The following is a 26870-nucleotide window of genomic DNA, read 5'->3' on the forward strand; positions in this document are numbered from 1 at the left end:
CTGGTTTACATCCATCTCATGAAGATGAAATCTTAGGCTCAAACTAGTTCAAAGTAAAATTTTATAAGAACAAACGTAATGTTTTATGCTTCGGTTAAAAAGTAAGGGGTAAAAGTGGGGAAAGCCTAACTTGTCAGTTCATATAGAAAAGAAGCTCAAATCTGTTATATGGTATTGTCTTTCATCTAAAAAATTAAGTTTTGCAGTGAACTGTAATTTGTGTGTGAACGTGACTGGGAAAATAAAAATTCTGCTAGAGAGAGTATGATTTGCTTAGCACCTATGTCTGCAGTCTGAAGAGCTTGTCACTGTTAAAGTGAAATCTTATAGATGTTTCAGCTAAGACTGTCTTTGCTCAAAAAGAGGGACCGGGCCGTTCCTTGGAGTAACCTTTTTTTTTTTTTTTTTGAGATGGAGTCTTGCTCTGTCACCCAGGCTGGAGTGCAGTGGCGTGATCTCGGCTCACTGCAACCTCCACCTCCGGGTTCAAGCAATTCTCCTGCCTCAGCCTCCCAAGTAGCTGGGATTACAGGCACATGCCACCACGCCCAGCTAATTTTTGTATTTTTAGTAGAGACGGGGTTTCACCATGCTGGCCAGGCTGATCTCAAACTCCTGACCTCGTGATCTGCCCACCTCGGCCTCCCAAAGTGCTGGGATTACAGGCGTGAGCCACCATGCCCAGCTGGAGTAACCATTCTTAAACTGTTTTCAATAAGGCATAATGGGTGAAGTTACGCAGATAACACTGTTTCATAGACACACCTGCAGCGATGCATAATTTCTGGTCCATGAGCTCTACCTCCACTTCTTTCTATCTCTCCCTTAAGAAGATGTATTGTAATGGAAATGAGCAATAGTGAAATTAATTATTATAGTGATAACCTTGATCTGCTCCACATTTTATTTCCTAAAAAAGCAAATCATTTTTCTAAAGTTCAATACTTTAATTATTAGTGTTAAGAAATTACTATATTCCTGACAATTGACATCTTGTTGAGAACGATATGTACAGCAGTATATTTTGTTTGTAGGAAGAAGAGAGGCTTTGGAGTCACACCAGCTGTGATTCATATAGCAGTTCAGTCATTGCCCTGTGATCCTGAGCTAGTTGCTTAATATCTCTGACTTTCATCTAAAAAATAGGCACCTACTTTACAAATTGCTGTCAGGACAATAAATAATTACGTAAAACAGCCAAGATAGTACCTACCCCCTAAATATCTTTCAAATCTATATACATATCTCTGTTCTCCCCGCTACAGCCCTATTTTAAGTCACTAGCATCTATGTTCTGGATTATTTAGCACCCTTCTAAATGGTCTTTTGCTTCCAGTCTTGCCTGCCCTAGTTTTGTTCAGAGCAAAGGATGTTGTAAAAGCTGACTTGAACCACTAACAGGTGTGTCCCTGGTATGGAGATGAATATGTAGCCGCCATGGATGAATGTGTGGTATGGAGATGAATATGTATCACATGACAGGGACTGGTTTAGCATTTTATGCATTATCTCATTTAACCCTCACCATAAGCCAGTGAAGTATTATTCACCCTTTAAAAACCGGAGTTTAGAGAAGGTGAGTGACTTGCCCACTGCCACTCTGCTGGGACGTGAATAATTCTATGTGTGTCCAGGCCTCTCTGGTTCCAAAGCTGATGCTCTGCCCCTGCTTCATGCTGCCTGTGCTGTTCAGTGTTCTAATCCTATTTCTAAGTCCCTGCCTTCTGGGCTTACTGTACACTCCTGGTAACAGCTTTGCGCGTCGCTTAGCTACGGGGAGATGATGGTGGATGCAAACATCTGATTTTCCTGACAGTCACATTCCCTTTAGTATATTAATAAACTGACATTGGCCGGGCAGTGTCACGCCTGTAATCCCAGCACTTTGGGAGGCCAAGGTGGACGGGTCACTTGAGGTCAGGAGTTTGAGACCAGCCTGGCCAACATGGCAAAACTCTGTCTCTACTAAAAATACAAAAATTAGCTGGGTGTGGTGGTGTGCGCTTGTAATCCCAGCTACTTGGGAGGCCGAGGCACGAGAATCGCTCGAACCTGCGAGGCAGAGGTTGCAGTGAGCCGAGATTGCCGCACTGCAGCCTGAGTTGACAGCAAGACTCCGTCTCAAAAAATAAATAAGTAAATCGACATTCTGGTTTTATACTTCAGTTTTTTTCAGACTTAGATGCATGTGCCTGCCTGGGTTCTCTGGACTCTGACAGGATTGAGTTTCTGGACTAGCAAGGCTGAGGGCCAGACTCTGGTCTTTGATAAATTTGATAAGGGCAATATCATGTGGCACAAGCCTTCTTGCAGCCAACCTGCTGCTCCAAGCTGCAACTTTCTGATGCCTGCAATTAACCTTGATGACACTGATGAAAAATCTTATTTGGTTTGAAACCTTGATGCTTTTATAGACTTTTAGATAGTAACAGAAATGAAGACTGTCTACACTTGGTTTCCTTGAGATTTAGGAAACTTCTCAAGCATTTAATCAACAAACATGTCTTGAGACCTATAACAAGGGGAATACAAAGAAATTTAGTGTCTCGCCCTTGCCCTCAAGATGCTTCCAACGTAATTGAGAACATTAGAGTTTTTTTAAGACCCACAATTCAAAATACCGGATTACAGTACTTTCACATAGTAAACGTTCTGTGTGTCCAAATGGGTTTCAAGTGAATGCTTGATATACCTGAGCCTGACTTTTATGTGGAAGCTTGATAAATATTTGTTGAATGATTATTGAGTATTGGCCTCCCAGACACTGCTCTCTCCTAGGCTTGACTCTAGCTCTGTCCTCTCCAAGACGCTGCAGACTTAGGATATTTAGCTACTCACTGTACAACCACACCTCAATGAATCTTCCGTCAGCACCTCAAACTCAACATGTCAAAACTGATTGTATTAACTTTCCATGTTTGGAGAGGCAGCATAACCTCAAAGTTAGGAGCATGGAGTCTCGGATATTGGTTTTAGTCACAGCTCTAGCTAGCTGAATGACCTGGAGAAAGTCTCTAAACTGTTCTTTCTTTGTGTGAGGAAATATAGGTTTACTCTTGGGATTCGATGAGATAGTGGATACAGCACATTCAACACGATACCTGCACACAGTCAGTAATCATTAAATGTTAGCTATTATCATCCATAATTGCCCCCAAAACTTCCAATTTTTCCTGTCTGGTAATGATACCATTATCCACTTGAACCCTCTTCTTCACGCCATCTCAGCTAAAGAGTTAGCAAAAACTGTATATTCTACCTTTTTTTTTTTCCTCACCCTGTCACCCAGGCTGGAGTGTGGTGGTGCTATCACTGCTTACCGCAGCCTCAAACTCCTGGGCTCTGGTGATCCACCTACCTCAGCCTCCCAAGTAGCTGGGATTACAGGCATGTGCCACCATGCCCAGCTAATTGTTTTATTTTTTGTAGAGACACGGTTTTGTCATGTTGTCCAGGCTGGTCTCTAACTCCTAGACTCATGTGATCCGCTCCCCTAGGCCTCCCAAAGGGCTGGGATTGGGGTATGGGCCATGGTGCCCCTCCTATTCTACCTTTTTATTTTCTCTCAGATTATGATTCATTCAACATACACTTATGTGACATCTACCGAATACCTAACACATTGCTAGGTACTGAAGTCACAGAGATGAATACTTATCAGTTTCTGTATCTGTAGAAGCAAATACATCTGTACCTGCAGACTTCAGATGATCCACGTAACGGAGATACAGAAAGTATGTTTAAAAAAGAAAAATTTCTGAGCTGGGCGCAGTGGCTCACGCCTGTAATCCCAGCACTTTGGGAGGCCGAGGCAGGCAGATCATCTGAGGTTGGGAGTTCGAGACCAGCCTGACCAACAGAGAGACCCTGTCTCTACTAAAAATACAAAATTAGCCAGGCCTGGTGGCGCATGCCTGTAATCCCAGCTACCCCGGAGGCTGAGGCAGGAGAATCGTTTGAACCTGGGAGGTAGAGGTTGCAGTGAGCCGAGATTGCGCCATTGCACTTCCAGCCTGGGCAACAAGAGCGAAACTCCGTGTCAAAAAAAAAAAGTCTGAAAGTGATTTCCCGTCCTCTTTTCAAAACCAGTGCCCTTGCGAAGCCTGCATTGCCTCTTACTGTAGATATAGCAGGAGGTTGGGTTTTTTTAATTGGTTTTGAAATGTATAGGTAAAACATAAATTCATGCCCATTGCAAAAAAAAAATAAATTACAGAAATAACTAAAAAGTAAAAGCTTCTTACTCCACCTCTTTAATCTTACTCCCTTCCACAAACGTAAATAACTGCGCTGTTTACTGTTTAATAGGTACCCTTGAAGACCTTTTCTATTTATACATGTATACATTTATGTATATTTATGTAGATAGAAATATAGTTTTTATACAAATGGGATGATAACCATAAACGTGCTTCTTCCTTTTTTCACTTAACTATGTGTGTTTTCAATTTTTCCATGTCAGTACATAATAGAATTACCTTATTCTTTTTAACTCCTAAATGGTATTCCATATTTTGGAACTACCACAATTTATTTGGTTATTTTCCTGTTGGAAGCCTTGTAATTTACTTCCAGTTTTTCATAATTGCAATCAACGCTGCAGCGAACTTTTGGCACATAGGTTTTTATAGACACATCTAGTTATTTCTGCAAGTTTCTAGAAGTGGAAGTACTGAGTTAAGAGGTGTTTTTGTGAGGCTGTGCTAACTTACCCTTAAAAAAGACTGTACTTGGCCCCACGTGGTGGCTCACGCCTGTAATCCCAGCACTTTGGTAGGCCGAGGTGGGCGGATCACGAGGTCAGGAGATCCAGACCATCCTGGCTAACACAGTGAAACCCCGTCTCTACTAAAAATACAAAAAATTAGCGGGGCGTGGTGGCGGGCACCTGTAGTCCCAGCTACTCAGGAGGCTGAGGCAGGAGAATGGCGTGAACCTGGGAGGTGGAGGTTGCAGTGAGCCAAGATCGGGCCACTGCATTCCTGCCTGGGCGACAGAGTGAGACTCCGTCTCAAAAAGAAAAAGAAAAAAAAAAAAAAGACTGTACTTGTTTACATTCCCATCCAAAAGAGAGAATATTCATTTACATAATGAGAATAATCATTACACATCTCACCAACACTGGATATTATCAGTCCTTTAATTTTTGCAAATCTAATGAATAAAAGTATATTGTTCTTTTATAGATTTTCTGTGGCTACTAATGAAATTGAGCATGCTTTCATATATTTATTGATTATTTCTATTTGTTCTGTGAATTGCCTGTTTATATTGTCTTTTTCTCTATTAGATTGTCTTATTCTTTTTAGTTTGAAGGTTCTCTCCATTACATTATGATATTAATTCTTTCTCTGTGATATGTGTTGCAAATATTTTTTCCTGGTCTATTGCTGGTCTTTATTTACATTGTCTTAAATCATACATAAGGTTTTAATTCTTTTTTATTTTTGATTTTATTTTATTTTTTTTTGAGACGGAGTCTGGCTCTTGTCGCCCAGGCTAGAGTGCAATGGCATGATCGGCTCACTGCAACCTCAGCCTCCTTGGCTTAAGTGATTCTCCTGTCTCAGCCTTCCGAGTAGCTGGGATTACAGGCATGGGCCACCACGCTCAGCGAATTTTTGTATTTTTGGTACAGATGGGGTTTCACCATGTTGGCCAGGCTGGTCTCAAACTCCTGACCTCGTTATCCGCCCACCTGGGCCTCCCAAAGTGCTGGGATTACAGGCGTGAGCCACCGCGCCCAGCCTTAACTCTTCTGTCAGTCTTTTCTGTTATGGCTTCTGAAGTTTGTGTTTTGCTTAGGAAGGGTATTCCTACCCCTTAGAAGACGTTATATGTTTTAAATTTTCCTTTCAATAATTTGATAGTATGTAGTGTGAATTAGGTTTATAACTTTAAGAGAATTTCCAGTAGTCCCAACACAATTAAATAGTCCATCATCCTTTTCCTACTGATTTAAAATGCCAGGCTGTACATGGGTTTGCTTCTGAATTCTGTTCTACTCCTTGGATTTTTTTATTTTTGGTCCATTTGTGTGCAAACACCACACTGTTGTGATTATTGTAGCATTATAGAATTTTTAAAAAACCTTATGAGGCCAGCTGGGTGCGGTGGCTCACGCCTGTAATCTCAGCACTTTGGGTGGCTGAGGTGGGCTGATCGCTTGAGGTCAGGAGTTCGAGACCAGCCAGACCAACGTGGTGAAACCCCGTCTCTACTAAAAATACAAAAATTAGCCGGGCTTGGTGGCGGGCGCCTGTAATCTCAGCTACTCAGGAGGCTGAGGCAGGAGAATTGCTTGAACCCGGTAGGCAGAGGTTGCAGTCAGCCGAGATCGCGCCACTGCACTCCAGCCTGGGCAACAGAGCGAAACTCCATCTCAAAAATAATAATAAAAATAAATAAATAATAAACCGTATGGGGCCAAAAACTGTGTATTCTACCTTCTTTTTTATTTTATTTTACTTTGTGGATTTTTAGTAGAGACGGAGTTTCACCATGTTGACCAGGCTGGTCTCGAACTCCTGACCTCAAGTGATCCACCTGCCTTGGCCTTCTTGAAGTGCTGGGATTACAGGCGTGAGCCACTGTGCCCAGCCTCTACCTTCTTATTATCTTTCCTTTTTCTTTGCCTCAGTAGTTTTTGTTCTCATACTTTTCTTGACTGCTTTTATACATCTTCTCCCAGGTGAACTTTAGAATAAATCTGTCAGTTCCATAAAATATCTTATAAGTATTTTGATCAGAAACTCATTAAATTTATAGTTTAATTTGAGTTTCATCCAGGAATATGATGTGTTCCTTATTTATTTTTGTCTTCTTTTAATGTCTTTCAATAAAATTTACAATTTCTTCATATAAATCTTGGACATATTGGTGAGTTTAGTTGCATGTATTTTACAGTTTGCTTGCTATTGTACATCTTCCACCATGTCTTTCTATTTGGTTATAGTTGGTGTATAGGAAAAGGATTAATTTTTGTGGCTGATCTTTTATTAAGGCTTTACTAAAATATAGTATTAGTTTTAAATTTTACAGTTCTTAGATTTTCTAAGTTGAAAATTAAATCACTTGTAAATAGTGATGGTTTTATGTATTTCTTTGTGATGGTCTTTCTTTTTCTTGTCTTATTGCACTAGTTAGGACTTCCAGTGCCATATTTAGTAGTTGCAACTATAGCAATGAAAGCTGCCATATTTATCTTGTTCCTGACTTCAATAGGTATGGTGAATATTCTTAACAAATTAAATAAATTTTCTTCTATTACTGGTTTTGCGAGAGTTTTACATTTTTTATTTTGTTTTTTATTTGTTTTCCTGCTTGCCTCTTAAAATCAGGAATGGATATTAAAATATATATAACTTTTTGAAGGATCTTTTCATGGTGATCATGAGGTTTTACCTCCTGTAAACTATTAAGGTAATGGATTATATTAATAGATTTCTAAATACAGAACCATCCCCTGCATTACTAGATAAATTTTATCTAGTCATGAAAATTGTTTTTTTAAGAACAGTTAAGTCTAAGATATTTGCATTTATGTTCTTAAGTAAGCTAGTAGTCTTCTTTATTTATGCTATCTTTGTCTATTTTTTATATTGGAGCAATATTAGTTTAGTGCAATGGTTCTCAAATGTTTGGTCTTAGGACCCATTTGTCCTCTTAAAAATTATTGAGGATCCACAGAGAACTTTGTTTATGTAAGTTACCTATCAATGTTAGAAATTAAAATGGAGAAAATTTTAAAACACAAGAATATACAAGCATGCATTTTGTTATTAATAGTTGCCAGAGCAATGACATCATCACATGGCATTCCATTAGCCTCTGGAAAACTCCACTTTACACTTGTATGAGAGAATGAGAGGGAAAGAGTCAAAACATCTTAGTATCATTATCAAAATAGTTTTGGGTGTGTGGACTCCCAGATAAGTCTCAGGGATCTTCACATATCCCTAACCTACACTTTGAGATCTGCTGATATGGCAGAATGAGTTTACCATTCTTCCTATGTACTAAAATAAGTAACTTAGAAATTATTTATGTGTTGAAGGTAGAACTCATCTGTAAATTATTTGAAACTGATGGTTTTTGGAATGGTATATCTTTGCTTATCATTTCCATTTCCCCTACAGTTAATGTTCTACTCAGGTTTTATATCTCTTCTTGGGTCAATTTGTAAATTTATGTATACTGGAAAATCATGGAATTTCATGTAGATTTTCATTTCTTTAAGAGTAAAGTCATGCTTACATTACAATTTTTAGATTTTCTATTGAAAATTAAATCCCCCTTTTTTTCCTTCTAATACTATTTACCTGTGTATTTTCTCTTTTATTCTCATTTGGATTTGCCTTGGGTTTAACTATTTTATTGCTGTGTGTTAGTGTGTTTTAAAGAACATTTTTTGGTATGATTACTCAAGTTTATTGTTTTTTTGTTTGTTTTTCAGTCTATCTTTACTAATTCATTTATTTTGGTGGGTTTTTTTTTTTAAGTCAGATTTATTGAGGTATAATTCATATATAGTAAAAACCCTTTACAGTGTACAGTTCTGTGAGTTTTGACAAATACATATAATCATTTAACCACCACCACAATCAGGGCATAGAAGAGTCCTACCACCCTCAAAAATCCCTTCATTCCCCTTTGTAGTCAGCCTCTTCTCTCCTGGCATCTTGTTTCCTGTTTTGGTAGTTTCTTCCTTTTTGTTACTGAGTAGTATTCCATTATGTGGATATACCGCCATTTGTTTATGCGTTCACCAGTCAAAGGACATTTAGATTGTTTCCAGTTTGGGGCAGTTATGAATAAAGCTACTATAAACATCTATGAACAAGTTTTTGTGCAAACGTAAGTTTTCTTTATTCTTGAGTAAAGAACAATGAGCAGAATTGCTGGGTTAAATGGTAAGTTTAAGTTTGACTTTATAAGAAATTGCCAAGCCATTTTCCTGTCATTCTCTGTTCACTAGATTTGCTTACTATTTGTTTTGCTCTTTCCTTTGCTTCTGTCAAATCTCTGTTTTTGGGATGTGAGTTTAGACTCCTTACTATGATTCCCTTTAGCGAGGGCATAGGACACACCAAAATGCCTCAAGCACAAAATGCCAAGGAGGACACCTCAGTGACAGGATGGGAAAATGGAATCATAGGAGGGAGAGGAGAAAAATAAGAAAGAGGAAAACGGAGAGCAAAAGAAGGGGAAGAAAAGAAATGAAAATAAAATGATGCATAGGAAGGCAGCGGTGAGTGCATGGAGCTAGCAGTGAGACTTTCTAATAGTCTTGTTGCCAGTCTCCTGGGGGCTCATGGGGCTCTCAAAGAAAAATTTATGGGATGGAAAAAATGTGGTAGGGATTTAATAAATATTTGATTAACTGATTGATTAATTCATTAAGGAGCTTGGTATTTTAAGTAGGTTATAAGAAACAAGTTTGTTAGAACTGCAAAGGCATGAACTGGAGACAGTAAAAACATTGAAAACCACATGGAAAGATGAATAAGTTGAGAGAGAAGAAGAACCCTGAAAACTGATCTAATGGTCTGGAATAAGAAGAGGGGTCGGCACTGGAGATAATCAACTAGTCATAAAACTACATAAATACAACACAGATTGTTTTGGAATAAACACGGGAACTTAGTGAAGATCAAGGGTGACCTTCTGAGTTCTCTAGCTCTAGCACGTGCCATCTGTCCCTGACTGACACCTGAACCGATCTCAGAACACCCTGGGGCCAGACAGCTAAGTGATGAGGAAGGAGTGGTACTGAGGGAGTGTAAGCTTTGGGGTGGGAGTAAGGGGTAAATTAAATGCCTCCAAAGATCCCTCTAGCTTTCAGATCTTGTGATGCTTGTGAAAATATTGCTAGAGTGTCATATTCTTAGAATAAGGATTCTCTTAATTTGGAGAAAGGCCCTAAGACCTTCAAGGGGAAAGAATACACAAAAGCCATTGGGTAATCCAAGCCAAGACAATTACCATTAGTCTCTGGAGGTGTTTAATTTAAGAGAGAAAGAAGTTCCTTTCCACTGAAGAATTAATGGAATTATTTGGTTACCAAGGGTCCAATGTTCCTATTATGAAGTAAGGTAACTGCATGTTGTAGAAGAAGGAAAAAATGGTAGCAGGACAGATGTCTTTTCCCTTCAGATTATATGAATTTTGTGCATGGCTTTCACATTACATTAACTATGAGTTTAGTCCTTCCCTCACAAGAAAGATCATTCACTTTTCAGAGTGCCGGAAAGCCCATGGAGTTGAGATACTATATAAATGTCATGTGAGAAATGACATTAAAAAGTTGCACTATTTAAGAAACATTTATTAAGGACCTACTAAGCACTGGGAACTGTTTTAGGCACTGGGAATACAGCAGTGAACAAAACAGACCAAGTCCCTGTCCTCAAGGAGCTTCGTAAGTTTTGGTAGGAGCACATGGGGTCAAGGAAGTCTTAAGAAAGGAGTGACATTTGCTGCACTTCCTATCTGTTGTCTACGTGGCAGCCAGAAGATTTCTAAAATCACAAACCTGAAAACGTTATTCCCTTGCTTAGGTCTCACCAATGGCTCCCTTTTGCTTTTCTGATGAAGATCGAACTTATATTGCCATGGCCTGCACAGTCCTGCAGGGTCTAGCCCTCTCCCTCTCTGGCCTCATACCCCTCTGTCTCTTCCATCTGGGGTAGGACATCCTGCAATCCCATCACACTGGACTTCTTTCAGTTTCTCCATCATGTCACCCTTCCTTCTGCCTCAGTGTCTTAGCACCCGCTGTTCCCTGGATCTGGAACACACGTCCCCCCAACCCCTCCTGCTCCTACCTATCCCCAACTGCCGCCAGTCTTGCCCAGTTACACCCACGTATCCTTCAGCTGTAGCTCCAATGTTAATTCCTTAGAGTTTTCCCAACCGTTTCCCCTTCCCTGCAAGCTATATATACTCTCCCAACACCCTCCCAACACTCTACCTTCCTCTCTCCTCTTCCTCCTCTTCTCTGCCCCTTCCCTTGAACACTAAACAAATGAACACACAAATAAATATAAAATAGTAAATTGAGATAAATGCTTCAAAGGAAAAGAATAGCTTATCATAACATTTCAATAGGGAAACATCATTTTATATATATTATAGAAATATATTAGTTCATTCTTCACTCAATAGGTGCCCAGAACTATTTGTTGAATGAATGAAAAAATGAATGAAAAAAATTATGAGTAAGATTTCTCCAATTAGAGAGGGAGTGAAGATAATTCCAGGCAAAGAAAATGACACAGAGATACTGAAGCATGAATGAAGTAACTGGCAGATGACTAGAAAGACGGGCAAGAGGGACTGGCTCCTTTACAATAAGATGGTAAAGGTAGGCGGGATACTACTTATAACCTTGGATTTTTTTTTTTTCTGGTTGAGAGTAGGGGTAGATGGTGGAAATTAAAAGTATTTAAGCAAGGAAGCGTTATATTTAGATCTGCGTTTTAGGAAGATAGCTGATTCTTCATCTAGGGCTGTTCCATGTCTGAAATTTTAAGTTCTGAAACAGAGAAGTCCTTCTCATTCAGCATTGCTACTAGGTTGCTTAATCAAAGTCAGTTAAAGTGGTACATCATAAAAAGTACCACATATACTACATATATACTTTCAACATTGCATTCTAACTTAGAAATGCACAACCACTTGCTAGTCTTTGGGTAGAGTGTCAGGGCCTTTTATCAAGTGTGGAGTCCTTGATTCCTGAACAACCATATCCATATTGACTTGTCTACGGATTTTGGCTTCGGCTTCTTTACAATAGAACAAGAAAGCCAGGTGTGATGGCTCACGCCTGTAATCCCAGTGCTTTGGGAGGCTGAGGTGGGAGGATTGCTTGAGCCTAGGAGTTTGAGACCAGCTTGGGCAACATAGCAAGACCCTCCCTCTACACAAAATAAAAAATAAAAAAATTAGCAGGGCATGGTGTAGGCACCTGTAGTTGCAGCTACTTAGGAGGCTGAGGTGGTAGGATCACTTGAACCCAGGCGTTACAGTGAGCTATGATCATGCCACCGTACTCCCAGCCTGAGCAGCAGAGTGAGACACTGTCTCTTAAAAAAAAAAATAACAAGAAACTTAAATATTCTTATGAAATAGCCTCTGCACAGACTCCATTGTTAGGATTTTTCCAGTTTTTTTTTTTTTTTTTACTAATATCATAATGGTTAGGACAGTCTCTCAAGCCAGACCACCTGGGTTCAAATCCTGGATGTACCATTTCCTAACTTGGGTAAGTTGCTTAGCCTTTTTGTGCCTCAGTTTCCTCAGTAACCACTTCAGAGAGTTATTGTGAGGATGAAATGGCTATTTTATATAAAGCCTTAATATACTGCCTGATACATAGTAAACATTCAATAAATGTTAACTGTTTTCTAGTTGTCTTACCCACACCCAATTCAATAGCATTTAAAAAAGAGATTTACCTTTATGAAACTTCCCAAAGTATCTGATTTAGTGTTCTTAGAAACAACAGTTCTCTTTCTTTTCGCACGATTGGTTTACATAATGTTTAATTAAATTATGTAAATGTAATAACTACTACCACAGGAATAAAGAAATTTTGGAACAATCACAGTGACTTACACTCAGCTGGTAAAAGTGGAAGTAGTATATGTGTGTGGAAGAGTGGCCTGCCAGCCGTGAGCATTCAGAGCACTGTGTCCATTAACTGGAACATATTACAGCTGGAATGGAAAGTTTTAGTTAACCCAGTAAGTCAGTAGGGAAGAGGCTGGTTAAGAGAGCATCCACTCTTGGACGACAGCCTCTACCTTGCAGCTTCCTCTCTCCCTTGCTCCTGTTATAACTGTGCTTTCATCTCATTGACTGCCTAGATCCAAGCCAGACCTTTAATGTCCCAAAGCACCAAAAAAGAGAATGTTCCCTTATGTAATTTAAAATGAAAACAATTCTAACTTGTAAAATAAGTGTAAGGAAGTTCAATAAATTTCTGACTTTTACCATGGTGATTCTTTTGGTGGGTTTTTTTTTAATTTCAAGGTTTTTCTAAAAATATGTTGTGGGGGTTCACTTTGCTTTTTGGATGCCCTAAGAATGTGTTTATCTATTGAGTAATCCAGCACTGCCTTTGACGCTTCCATTTCTTCCCAACCTCTCAGCCTTCTCCCAGAATTACTTCCTTTCCTACTGAGCCTACATCTCATGATCCACCACTTTTAAATGCTGTCTTGCCAATGTCTTCTACCCAATTTCCTTACACACTTGTCCTCACACAGAACCCCCCCTAATAAACCCCCCAAAACTGGTATACTGCATTTGAGATAACTTTGTAGCTTCCAGGTAAAAATGTCCAAAAAGTAGTCAGACACAAAATCTGAAACCCAGGAGACGAAGTAAGGGTAGATAAAGGAATTTGGGGATCTTCGAACAAAAAAGTGAGATTTGATCCTGTGCAGGTGGACCACATGGCCAAAGAAAGGCATGTAGAGTGGGAAGAGCAAGAGCTGGACTGAGAACTCTGGGAACACCACTGTGTAAGGGGTAGGTGGAGCGGAACTGCCGATGAAAGAGGGAATATCCACATGCAAGGAAGCCTGAATCCAAGGAAGGAGAGCTTCAGGAAGGAGTGATTATGGATGTCAAGTGTATTAAAGAGGTGAGGTCAGATTAGACAATACCTAGAACCTAGTAGGTTCTCAATGCATACTTGCTAACTGATGGATTCACCAAGACCGAAACAGTCAGGAAGTCACTGATGATCTTGGTGCTTAGTTTGAGTTTTCCTAAAAGTGGACCCTGAGACGAGGATTAGTCTATTTGAAAGATGAAGAACACTGGTGTGTGTGGGAGAGGGGGATGAACAGGGAGGGGACGGCCAGTAAAGGGTGAATTAAGCCAGCAGCCACCCTGGGCAATTATAGCTTAATCCCAACGGGAAAGTTCAGGGAGTCAGTGCAGAACACCCACCTCATCGTTCCTCGTCTCACGGGGTGAGGGAGCTCTTTCAGGTCATTGGTTGAGGGCTGTTCTTAGAGGGCATTAATTCACTGACATTTCCAGCCTGCTGCTTGGGCAGCAGAACAGACCCCGGCTGTGAGAGAAATCCCTCAGGTGAATGAATGCAGGTACCAGCGCCTGGAAGCCTGGGGTTCACTGAAGTAGTAAGGGCAGGGGATACTGGTAGGGCAGTGACATCCTCTAACACCTGGTACCTGCAGTTTCACTGGCAGAAGCTAGACTGCTGTGGAGCAGTAGGAAATTGGAAGTGAGAAGTGGAGGAAATGGGTGTAGGTAACTATTTCAAGATGTTTGGCTGAAAAAATAAGATAAAAAATATGTCAGTAGGCTGATTCTGCGAAGGGTAGGAAAAAACAGGGTAAAATGGGAGATCGGAGAGTTCTTCGATCATTGAGGGTTCATTGAGGGTTCTCACAAAACTTCCCTGTTTTTAGTTAGGGGAGAGGAGGTCAGCTGCACTAACCACTTCTTACTTCAGGATCCTCTTTTAGCTTCCCCAGACAAGCGCCCAGTGTTTCCTCTGCTAGACTTTGGGTCCTGGGTTCCCCAGCTAAAGAGGCCGTGCTGGTACAGCCTCACATGCTAGCAATTCTAAGCCTGAAGTGCCAGAGGAATAGATTGAATATAGCTGCAGAGCAGACTGGGACACGTGTGGAACACGGTGGCCAGATTCTGAACCCTAGGAGAACCACAAGGTCAGAGGAGACCTTCTGAGGGGTCTGCCGCTGCTGAGGGACTCCTTGCATTCCTGGCCTTCCCCCTTCCCTGTCAGCACATCTCAATAATTAGTTTGGTTTGGGTGTAACAGACCTGCCCCATAGAAGGAACCTTCCTGGGACATTCATCTAAATAACTCTTTGATTGATGTCTCTCTCTTAGCTAAAGCTTAAGCTCCCGGGGGCAGGGACGGTATTCATTTCAGCACTATTGTATCCCTAGAGTCTGGTGCCTAGTCAGTACTCAATAAATATTGCATATTTAATGCAAAAATACCCAGCAACAGGTAATGCTGTCTATTGATGGTGCCTACACCAAGAAAAAGGTAAAACCAGGATTTTTATCCTTCTAGAAGTGGATTTTCTATGCAGTTAATGAATTTAAACTTACAGGTCCCTTACTTGCATGAACTCCTTTAAAGACCCTGGAAGAGGCCTTAGTGATATTTTTACATGGTTACATTTTTTCATGTTGCAAAAATAAAATACTTTAATCAAAATTAAGACTCTTGTTTTCCGTCTGAGTTCATATTTCCCCTCCTGGAGCGGCGTTGGAGTGGCTGTGGATGTTTTGGTGATCTGTTTCAGGAAAAGCAGAGTTGGGAGTATATTTTATATTTAGTTTATTTGAGTATATTTTGTATTTAGTTGATGCATCTGTTTATGTGGTTTGCGGTCTCTTCTGTGTAGAGTTAACTTACTCCTGCCTGTCCTGGTATATAAATGGCTCTCAGGAGTACTGCTACTGCCTACTATGCTAATTAACTGGGTCAGGCCATGAAGGTGCATGATGAGAGCTTGTCAGGGGACATGAATGTGTCCTATGATGCTCTGCAATGGAAGAGAAACAAAGCTTAAAATGTATGGATCCAGAAACTAGTCCTCACATATGTAAAATTGTAAGTGAAAATTTTAGTTCTTGTTAATGGCTGGTCAAAATGAAACCTCGCATCTGTCAGGAATACATCTTAATGCAGTGTATACAATTGTAAATGTATCATATTTTTTTCTTTTCTTTTTTCTTTGTTTTTTTTTTTTTTTTTTTTTGAGCCAGAGTCTTGCTCTGTTGCCCAGGCTGGAGTGCAGTGGTGCCATCTTGGCTCACTGTGACCTCCATCTCCCAGATTCAAGCGATTCTCCTGCTTCAGCCTCCCAAGTAGCTGGGATTACAGGGGCACACCACTATGCCCGGCTAATTTTTTTTTCTTGTATTTTTAGTAGAGATGTGGTATCACCATGTTGGCCAGGCTCATCTCAAACTCCTGCTCAAGTGATCCGCCCGCCTCGGCCTCCCAAAGTGCTGGGATTACAGGTGTGAGCCACCACGCCTGGACATATATATATTTTTTAATGGGAATCACATGAAATGGAATTTATTAAAATTCCTGTGTTTATAGTGTATAAGTCTGTAGCAATACTACTAACAATGAGTGCATTCTTATGTGAAGTATATACACATCTCCAAAATATTGACCAAAGGTAACATAAAACTCATAATATGTCGCTATAACCAGGACACCAATAATAAGCTGTAAAAGAGTATCAATAAAGTCTGAGAATATTAAGGAAAATTTGAAAGGCCATGAAATCTTACAACTCCTATATGAAAGAAACTTGATAGAGGTTTCCCCAAATTTCACATTAATCCTTGACATTTATATAACAGTACTAGTAAGGGGTTTTGAAGTGGAAAGAAATTCTCTAAGCTATCAGTTATAAACAAATTTTGGTCAACAATGGTAGAAAAAAGACAGGATTTTCTATTTTCTTTATAGAAAAATGAAGTATAGATGCTTCAAAATTGTTCACATGAAGAGTCAGAGTCCACAGCTTAGAAAATACAAGAAAGGCCGGGCACGGTGGCTCACGCCTGTAATCCCAGCACTTTGAGAGGCCGAGGTGGGCAGATCACAAGGTCAGGAGATCGAGACCATCCTGGCTAACATGGTGAGACCCTGTCTCTACTAAAAATACAAAAATTAGCCAGGTGAGGTGGCAGGCGCCTGTAGTCCCAGCTACTCAGGAGGCTGAGGCAGGAGAATGGCATGAACCCAGGAGGCGGAGCTTGCAATGAGCTGAGATTGTGCCACTACACTCCACCCTGGGCCACAGAGCAAGACTCCATCTCAAAAAACAAAAAAAGAAAATACAAGAAAGGCCGGGCGCAGTGGCTCACGCCTGTAATCCCAGCACTTTGGGAGACTGAGGCGGGCAGATCACCTGAGGTCGGGAGTTTGAGACCAGCCTGACCAACATGGAGAAACCCCGTCTCTACTAAAAATACAAAATTAGCCAGGTGTGGTGGCACATGCCTGTAATCCCAGCTCTTGGGAGGCTGAGGCAGAAGAATCGTTTCAACCCGGGAGGCAGAAGCTGCAGTTAGCTGAGATCGCACCATTGCTCTCCAGCCTGGGCAACAAGAGCAAAACTCTGTCTCAAAAAAAAAAAAAAGAAAGAAAGAAAATACAGGAAATAAGCACTTAGAAGTGTATCAATTAATTTAAAATTATGTCATTGGAATATTTTTATGATGTTTCTCATTTTCCTCAACCTTTAAAATTTTGTAATTGTTGTGAAATGATTTGTCGTTCTAATAAATACTCACTTTTGAACCTAATTTTATATTTGTAATTTTGTTTCTTTTTTTTTTTAAGAGAGTCCTCAAAGTCATATGCTAAGCTTCGGATGCCACAGAATGTGAATCTGCCCCATATCCTCCTTATCTGCCTGGCTTTAGGTGGTTTGGGCTGTAAAGCAATATCATCTCGAGTCCAAACTATAGACAATTGGTGTATAATTGGCTTCCATGTAGACATTTTAGATGTCTCCTGACCTCTTTCTTTGTTTTTAGACTAACTTGAGTTTCCAGAATTAACCAGGAGCTGAGAGCCACTCCCTTCTAATTCACTCATGGAGTTTGAGCTTTAATCTTCCTGAGCCTCCTCATTCTAGACTCACCCTGAGCCCAGGCTCCAGGGACAGAGTCTTTCCTTTTCCACAGGGTAACCTCTAGAATGGAGACAGTTGAAGAGGAGAGGAAGAAGGTCACATGTGTGCAGAATTCTAATCTGGTGATTCTTTGGAGGGGTGCCTCCTAATTGGTTCAGTTGGCATATCTTGCAGAGAAATCTGACAGAAATAAGAAAGGAGGGGGCATACTATGAACAGTTGCAGAAAATAGGGATATTTAGCCTAGAGAAAAGATACCACTTTTAGAGTCCTATGTCAGCAGCTCTTGCCACAACAACATTGTATAACAAACTTACTCAGAATTCAGTGTCATAGATGATGGATGTATATTTCTTGAGTGTACAGTTGTATAGATCACCTGAGATTCAGCGAGTCTAGGCTGAGGTCAGATGGGCCTGACTCTAAGCTGTGGATTAGGTCCAGGTCTGTTCCATGTGTCCTTTATTGTCCTTGAACCAGCAGCTGCCAGAGGCATGTTCTTCTCATGGTGAGAGGCAGAAGCCCAAGAGACCAAGGCAAACTTTGCATGTGCATCTTTTTCTTTTTCTTTTTTTGTGCATATCTAAAATCTCTACTTGCATTATATCCGCTAACATTCCACTGGTTAAAGGAAGTCGATGGCCAAGCCCAAAGTCAGAGGGTAGGAATGTCACTTCATCCTGCTTTGAAGACTAAGCAAGTCATATGAGTAAAGCACATCTGTGTGGCAGAGAAGATGGGAGGCAGAGGAATGAAGGGAATGGATATTTGATGAGCTAATATGCCACAATAGCTATTATATCAAAGAAACAGCAACTTTCCTCATCTCTCATTCAGTCCTCAACCCACGAAAGCCTATCCTCACTCCCCACTCTTACCAAAATCATTCTCTTACTGACTGCCTCATTCCATCTAGAATCTGATTTCTCTTCTTCATTCTCACTACATTGCTTGCCTAGATTGCCGCTATAGCCTACTAACTGCTCTCCTTGTCTCTGGTCTCATCCTTTCCTGATTCATCATTCATAGAGCTGCCAGCTATTATCCGTATCTCATCAGCATCCACATCATCATTATTGTTACCTATTTTGCATTATACTTACTGGTTTATGTGCCTGGCTCCTTCATTATACTGAGAGTGTCTGGATGGCAAGAAATGTGTTTTATTTACCTTTGAATCTCCAGCACCTTACACAGGGTCTGACACATAGTAAAACTTCAATAAATTAATGTGAAAAGAAAGAATCAAAGAAAGGAGATGGGGTTTCAGTTCAAGTCTGCGTGACCTGAAAACCCATACTGTTTCTACACTATCATAATATATCTTTAGTCACAGCTGTGTTGCTGATAAAAATAAGGACACAGCTCAAACCCTCCCACTGCGACACCAGTGGAAAAGCAGGTTACTGAATCTAGATTAACTAAAGATTCTTCCTCCCATAGTCACAATAATCCTTCCCAATCCTAATTCCTCTCAAATGGAAAGGTCTAGAAGCCATAAAAAAATTTTAATGGCCATAAATATATTAAATATATTATATTAAATATATAAAAAAATGATCAACTTTACTCTTAGATAAATCCATGTGCCATTTTTTTTTTTTTTTAGGTGGACCCTCGCTATGTTTCAGAGGCTGGCCTCAAACTCCCGGGTTCAGGTGATCCTCCTGCCTCAGCTTCCTGAGTAGCTGAGATTACAGGCATGCACCACCACACCTGGCTGCAATATGCCATTTTTTACCTATCAGATTGGCAGAGATCAAAAAGGTTTTAATAGTGCACAAGTATACCTTAGAGATGTTGAAGATTCAGTTCCAGGCCACCACAGTAAGGCAAATATCACATCAAAGCGAGTCACATGAACTTTTGGTTTTCTGGTGCATATAAAAGTTACATTTATGCTATATTGTAGTCTATTAAATGTGCAATAGCATTATGTCTAAAAAACAATGTACACACCTTAACTTAAAAATATTTCATTGCTTAAAAATGCTAATGATCATCTGAGCCTTCAGCAAATCATATTTTTGCTAGTGGAGAGTTTTGCCTTAATGTTGATGGCTGCTGACTGATCACGGTGGTTGCTTAAGGTTGGCGTAGCTGTGGCAATTTCTTAAAATGAGACAACAATGAAGTTTGCCACATTGACTTTTTATGAAAGATTTCCCTGTAGCATGTGATGCTATTTGATAGCATTTTACTCACAGTAGAACTTCTTTCAAAATTGTAGTCAGTCCTCTCAATCTCTGCCACTACTTTATCAACTAAGTTTATGTAAGATTCTAAATTCTTTGTTGTCATTTCAGCAATGTTCACAACATCTTCACCAGGAAGTGGATTCCATTTTAAGAAACCACTTTGTTTGCTCATCCATAAGAAGCAACTCCTCATCCATTCAGGTTTTCTTATGAGATTGCAGCAATTCAACTACGTCTTCAGGCTCCACTTATTGTAATTCTCGCTATTTTGACCACATTCGCAGTTACTTTCTCCACTAAGGTCTTGAAACCCTCAAAGTCATCCATGAGGGTTGGAATTAACTTCTTCCAAATTCTTGTTAATATTGATACTTTGGCCCCCTCCCATGAATCATGACTGTTCTTAATGGAATCTAAAATGATGAATCCTTTCCAGAAGATTTTCAATTTACTTTGCCCAGATCCATCGGAGGAATCACTATTTATAGCAGATATAGCCTTACAAAATGTATTTGTTAAGTAATAAGACTTGAAAGTTGAAATTACTCCCTGATCCATGGGCTGTAGAATGGATGTTGTGTTAGCGGGCATGAAAACAACATTCATATTCTTGTACATCTCCATCAGAGCACATGGGTGACCAGGTGCATTGTCAATAAGAGAAATATTTTGATAGGAATCTTTTTCTCTTAGCAGTAGATCTCAACAGTGGGCTTAAAATATTACGTAAACCATGCTATAAACAGATGTGCTGTCATCATGGCTTTGTTGTTCCATTTATAGAGCATAGGCAGAATAGATTTAGCATAATTTTTAAGGGCCCTAGGATATTTGGAATGGCAAATGAGCACTGGCTTAAACTTTAAGTCACCAAGTGCATTATGCACCTAACATGGTCAATCTGTCCTTTAAAGCTTTGAGGCATTGGCTTCTCCTCTCTAGCTTTGAAAGCTCTGAATGGCATCTTCCAATATAAGGCAGTTTCATCTACATTGAAAACACATTGTTTAGTGCAGCCACCTTCTTCAATTATCTTAGCTAGATCTTCTGGTTAACTTGCAGCTTCTCCATCAGCACTTGCTACTCCACCTTGTAATTTTCTGTTACAGAGATGTCTTCTTTCCTTAAACGTCATGAGGCAACTTCTGCTAGCTTCAAACTTTTTTTTTTCCTCTTTTCTTTTGAGATGGAATTTCGCTCTTGTTGCCCAAGCTGGAGTGCAATGGCACAATCTCAGCTCACTGCAACCTCCACCTCCCAGGTTCAAGCGATTCTCCTGCCTCAGCCTCCCGAGTAGCTGGGATTACAGGCATGCGCCACCACGCCCAGCTAATTTTGTATTTTTAGTAGAGGCAGGGTTTCTCCATGTTGGTCAGGCTGGTCTCGAACTCCCAGCCTCAGGTGATCCGCCCACCTTGGCCTCCCAAAGTGCTGGGATTACAGGCGTGAGCCACCGCACCTGGCTGCTTCAGACTTTTCTTCTGCAGCTTCCTCACATCTCTCGGCCTTCATAGAACTGAAGAGAGTTAAGGCCTTGGTCTGGATTAGGCTTTGGCTTCAGGGAATGTTGTGGCTGGTTTGATCTTCTATCCAGACCACTAAAACTTTCTGTCAGCAATAAGACTGTTTCATTTCTTATCATTCATGTGTTCACTAGCATAGCATTTTTTTATTTCTTTTAAGAACTTTTCCTTTGCATTCACAGCTTGGCTAACTGTTCAGCACTAGAGGCCTGGCTCTCAGCCTGTCTTGGCTTTTGACATGCCGTCTTTACTGAGCGTAGTCATTTCCAGCTTTTGATTTAAAGTGAGAGATGTGTGGCTCTTTCTTTCACTTGAACATTGAGAGGTCCTTGTAGGGTTATTAATTGGCCTAATTTCAATATCGTTGTGTCTCAGAGAATACGGAGGCCCAAGGAAAGAGATGGGGAAATAGCTGGTCGGTGGAGCAGTCAGAACACACACAACGTTTATTAAGTGTGCCATCTTATATGAGTGTGGTTCATGGCACGCCAGATCAATTACAATGGTAACATCAAAGATCAAGAATTACCAAAATGTGACGCAGACACAAAGTGAGCACGTGCTGTTAAAAAAATGGCACTGATAGATTTGCTCAACACAGGGTTGCCACAAACCTTCAATTTGTAAAAAATGTAATGTCTACAAAGTGCAATAAAACAAGGTATGCCTGTACCGGTGAAAGGTGTGGAAAGAGACATTCGCATATATTGCTAATGAGAGTGTAAATTGGTTCAACCTCTATGGAGGGCAATTTGGCAATATCTATCAGCTCTTCCTGTACTGATATGGAAAGGTCTCTGATATATCTTGTGTCGTAAGTGAAAATGCAAGACGTGGAAGCGGAGTGCATTATTGCCTTTTGTGTGTGTTGTAGGAAGATAAACAGCTATATATATAAGTTATTGCTTAGGCAAGCCCTGGGAAGATATACAAGAAACTTTAATAGTACTTGCGTTTGGGGAGGGGAATTGAGCTGGAAAACAAGAGTGAAGGAAGATTTATTTTTCATTATATAATCTTTTGTATCTTTTAAATTTTGTTCCATGTAGAATAGAATTCTTTAGGCCAGGCGCAGTGGCTCATGCCTATAATTTCAGCACTGTGGGAGGCTGAGGCAGGTGGATTGCTTGAAGTCAGGAGTTTGAGACCAGCCTGGCCATCATGGTGAAACTCGGTCTCTACAAAAAAATACAAAAAAATTAGCCGGGCATGGTGATGCACACCTGTGATCCCAGCTACTTGAGAGGCTGAGGCACGAGAATTGCTTGAGCCTGGGAGGCGGAGGTTGCAGTGAGCCAAGATCACACCACTGCACTCCAGCCTGGGCAACAGAGCGAGACTCTGTCTCAAAAAAAAAAGAATAGAATTGTTTAGATGCCAAAAACAATATCAGAAGATCAACAACAAACTGGAAAACATATTACAACATAATATGACAAAGGGCTAATTTCTTTAATCTACAGAGAGTTTATAAATCAGTCTAAAAAATTAACAGAAGAGGGTAAAGGATATGAGAACTCATTTTAGAAAGAAATATAAATGGCCAATAATCATATGAAAAAGATGCCTAATTTATATATTATTAAAGGAAAGAAAACCCACAGGGAATCCTTTGGAGAAGAATTGAACTCTATTATTAGATGTGTTTAAGTAGAGAATAAATAACCAATTATTAAGGTTGTTGTTAAGGAGTCTCTTTGAATCATCTGATAAAGGAAAGGTTTCCAACATCTGAAGGAACTAATTCCTTCCAATCCGTAGGGTCTTTAATTCTTTATGGTACCCAGTGGAGGTGTATAGATAAGGCCAGGCAAACCAGCCTAAGAAAAGGAAGGGAAGGAAAATAATAGAAGTTCACCTAGAAAGCACAAATCTCAGAAATGGAAGGGATCTTGGAGTTCATTTTTCAAACCTCCCCCCTAATACATTTCCTCTTGGGACACAGTCCCAGATCTGCCACTTAACACCACTGAGCAAGTTTATTGGTATATTATTCATTCATTCATTCATTCACTAAATATTTACTGAGTTCCTTCTATGTGTGAGGCACAGTCCCTGTCCTCATGGAAACAGGCATTAGTCAAATGTAACATTGCAACTGTAGCAGGCACTGTGAAGAAGAATTATGCAGTGCTATGAGAGCCTGAGTATGATATTACCCAGACAAAAATTTTTGCAAAGTTGAACTGATTAGGATGAATAGGCGTTTAGGCAACAGAGAGGAAAAACAGTAGGCAGAGGCAATCGCAGGTGCAAAGGCCCTACCAGGAGGGATAGTGACAAGCACTAGGTTGAAAAAGACTGAAAATAGTATGAAAGTATAGTACGAGGTGAGGCTGCAGAGGAGTCTGACATTAAGGAGTTCTTACTCTTAAGAACAATGGGAATCCCTTAAAGGGTTTGAATGGGATGAAGGCGTAAAGGACACACATCCTGATCAGAGTCACATTTGAAACTATGTCTCTGGCTGCAGAGTAGAGAATGCATTGCAGGGAAACAAGAGCAGATGTGCAGAGGTGAGTAAGGAGGCAGATAAAGTAGACAGGAGATGATGGGTGCTTAGACCACCATGGTAGAAGTAGAGCAATGTGGACATAAGTGAGAGATGTTAGGAAGTAAAATTGTTAAGACTTGATGATGGATTCCATCTCAAGAGTGACAAAGAGGAAGGAAATATGTCAATAATGCTTCCTAAGATTTTGGCATGTGCAGTGGAATAGATGAGACAGATAACAATGGAAGAGAACTAAGTTTGGAAGGGAATCACAGTTCAGTTTAGAACATGCCAGCTTTGAGATGCTTTTGAGAGTACACATCAGTCAGTTGGCAACATTTATTTATGGAGTGTCTACTAAGTAGCTAGTAGTGGAATATACAGGTTTATTTATGTGTAAAAAAGAAAAATAAAATGGATACACACAATTCCCCCTTCTTCGAGACCCTTGCTGTTCCACTATTCTACTGTCTTCTCGCTTCTGTCATTGTCTGTTCTCTGACAGTCTCCACTCCTCCTCATTTGTTGGATGGAATGATCTGATCCCTCACATTTGTAGTTTCTTGGCCTGTTAATTTCTATAGACCTTTACCACCACTCCACTTCACTGTCCAGTCCCATGTCCACACTGTGAACCTCATCACTAAGAACTCATCAACCTTAAACTTCTTGCTCTCTAGCTGGACCCTTCTGTCCTTTTGGCTCTCTCATTTCCCTCCCGTCCTCTTCCTGCATCCTCCTCATTTACTTTCCTATTTCTTCCCTTCCTATTATTTCAAAAGCTTGCTGGAAGGATTTCCTCTCTATCGTGGCCTGACAAATAGGAGACATTCAATGAATACTTGAGAAGGTGACCTTCTCCGCTTCTTTATCTCCCATTCATTCCCAACCCACTGGACTTCAGCATTGACCTCCACCTCCACTAAGGCTGAGGCAGGGGGATCACTTGAGCTCAGGCATTCGAGGCTGCAGTGAGCAGTGACCCGCTGCTGCACTCCATCCTGTGTGACAGAGTGAGACCCTATCTCAAAAAAAAAGATAAAATTCACCATTTTAATCATTTTGAAGTGTACAAGTCATTGGCTGAGTGCAGTGGTTCATGCCTGTAATCCTAGCACTTTGGGAGTCCGAGGCTGGTGGATCACCTGAGGTCAGGAGTTCGAGACCAGCCTGGCCAACATGGCGAAACCCCGTCTCTACTAAAAATACAAAAATTAGCTGGGCGAGGTGTTGGGTGCCTATAATCCCAGCTACTCAGGAGGCTGAGGCGGGAGAATCGCTTGAACCTGGGAGGCAGAGGTTGTAGTGAGCCAAGATCGTGCCACTGCACTCCCAGCCTGGGTGACAGAGCGAGACTCCATCTCAAAATAAAATAAAGTGTACAAGTCAGTGGTTTTTAGTATAATCACAATGTCATTCAACTATCACCACCCTCTAACTCTGGAACATTTTCATCACGCTATAAAGAAGACTCATACTGGCCAGGCACAGTGGCTCATGCCTGTAATCCTAGCACTTTGGGAGGCTGAGGTGGGCGGATCACCTGAGGTCAGGAATTCGAGACCAGCCTGGCTAACATGATGAAACCCTGTTTCTACTAAAAATACAAAAAATTGGCTGGGCGTGGTGGCACATGCCTGTAATCCCAGCTTCTTGGAGCCTGAGGCAGGAGGATCACTTGAGCCCGGGAGGCAGAGGCTGCGGTGAGCCGAGATCGCACCATTGCACTCCAGCTTGGGCAACAAGAACGAAACTCCATCTCAAAAAAAAAAGAACAAAAAACAAAAACAAGAAGCCCTGTACTTCTCAATTCCCCCTCTTCTCCATCTCCTGGCAACCACTAATCTGCTTACCATCTCTGTGGATTTACCTATTCTAGACATTGCACATAAATAAAATCATAAAACCTGTGGCCTTTTGTGTCTAGCTTGTTTCTCTTAATATAATGTTGTCAAGTTTTACTACTATTGTAGCATGTTTCAATACTTCATTCCTTTTTATGGTTTAATAGTATTCCATTGTATGGATGTACCATATTTGGTTTAGCCATTCATCAGTTGATGGAATGGATCTTGTTTCCACCTTTTGGCTATTATAATAATGTTGCTGTGCACATTGCTGTACAAGTTTTTGTGTGGACATATGTTTTCAGTTCTCTTGGGTATATATCTAGGAGTGGAATTGCTGGGTCACGTGATAACTGTATGTTTAACATTTTGAGGAACTGCCAAACTCTTTTCGATAGCCACTGCACCATTTACACCATTCCTGCATCAGCCTTGCATGAGGGTTCCAGTTTTCCTGGGTGCCACTTATTTTCTGGTTTGTTTTTTTGTTATGTTTTGTTTGGGATTTTAAAAAATAGCCATCCTAGTGGGTGTAAAGCAATATCTCATTGTGGTTTTGATTTGCATTTCCCTAGTGACTAATGATACTGAGCATCTTTTCATTTTGGGGCCGTTTGTGTATCTTCTTTGAATGTAGAGTCTTTTTGAAAGGCAATCTCATCAGGTTGCTTCAGTACTGAACATTTTGAATGGTTCCCAATTGCCTACAGGATAAAATAAACATTTCTGAGTGTGCCACACAAGGCCCTTCAGGATCTGGCCTCAGCCTTCCGGTCCAACAGCTTCTGTCACTCTCCTTCTCACACTTTCTGTTTTAGCTGTGTTGAACTGAGGAGAGGTGGGGATATTTTGCTTTTGTTTCCTTTTTTTGTCAAACTAGTCTGCAACAATAGAGGATGTCAACCAAAGTTAAGGAATGCAGTGAGCTGGGCCAGCAGGGTGACGGGATGGGTGCGCGTGCCTGTGGCTCCCTGCCACCTTGCCTTTCTCCCTCTGATCCTTCTTGCCTTTTGCTTCTCGGCAGCACTCACTTTGCCCTAACTAGGTCACATACGTTCCGGACAGGATGATATTCATGTCTCTAGACCATACTGGAAGGTTCTGGCTTTGAGGTTTTCCTGGGCTGTGAG

General features: G+C 40.6%; 1 protein-coding gene across 15 annotated transcripts in view; it reads left to right on the forward strand.

Moving 5' to 3' along the window:
- Positions 1-26870, forward strand: part of RNF220 (ring finger protein 220) — a 246942-nt gene that overhangs the window by 41387 nt on the left and 178685 nt on the right. The window lies entirely within an intron of this gene.

This window comes from Homo sapiens, chromosome 1, assembly GCF_000001405.40.
Source record: "Homo sapiens chromosome 1, GRCh38.p14 Primary Assembly".
Classification (NCBI taxonomy): domain Eukaryota; kingdom Metazoa; phylum Chordata; class Mammalia; order Primates; family Hominidae; genus Homo; species Homo sapiens.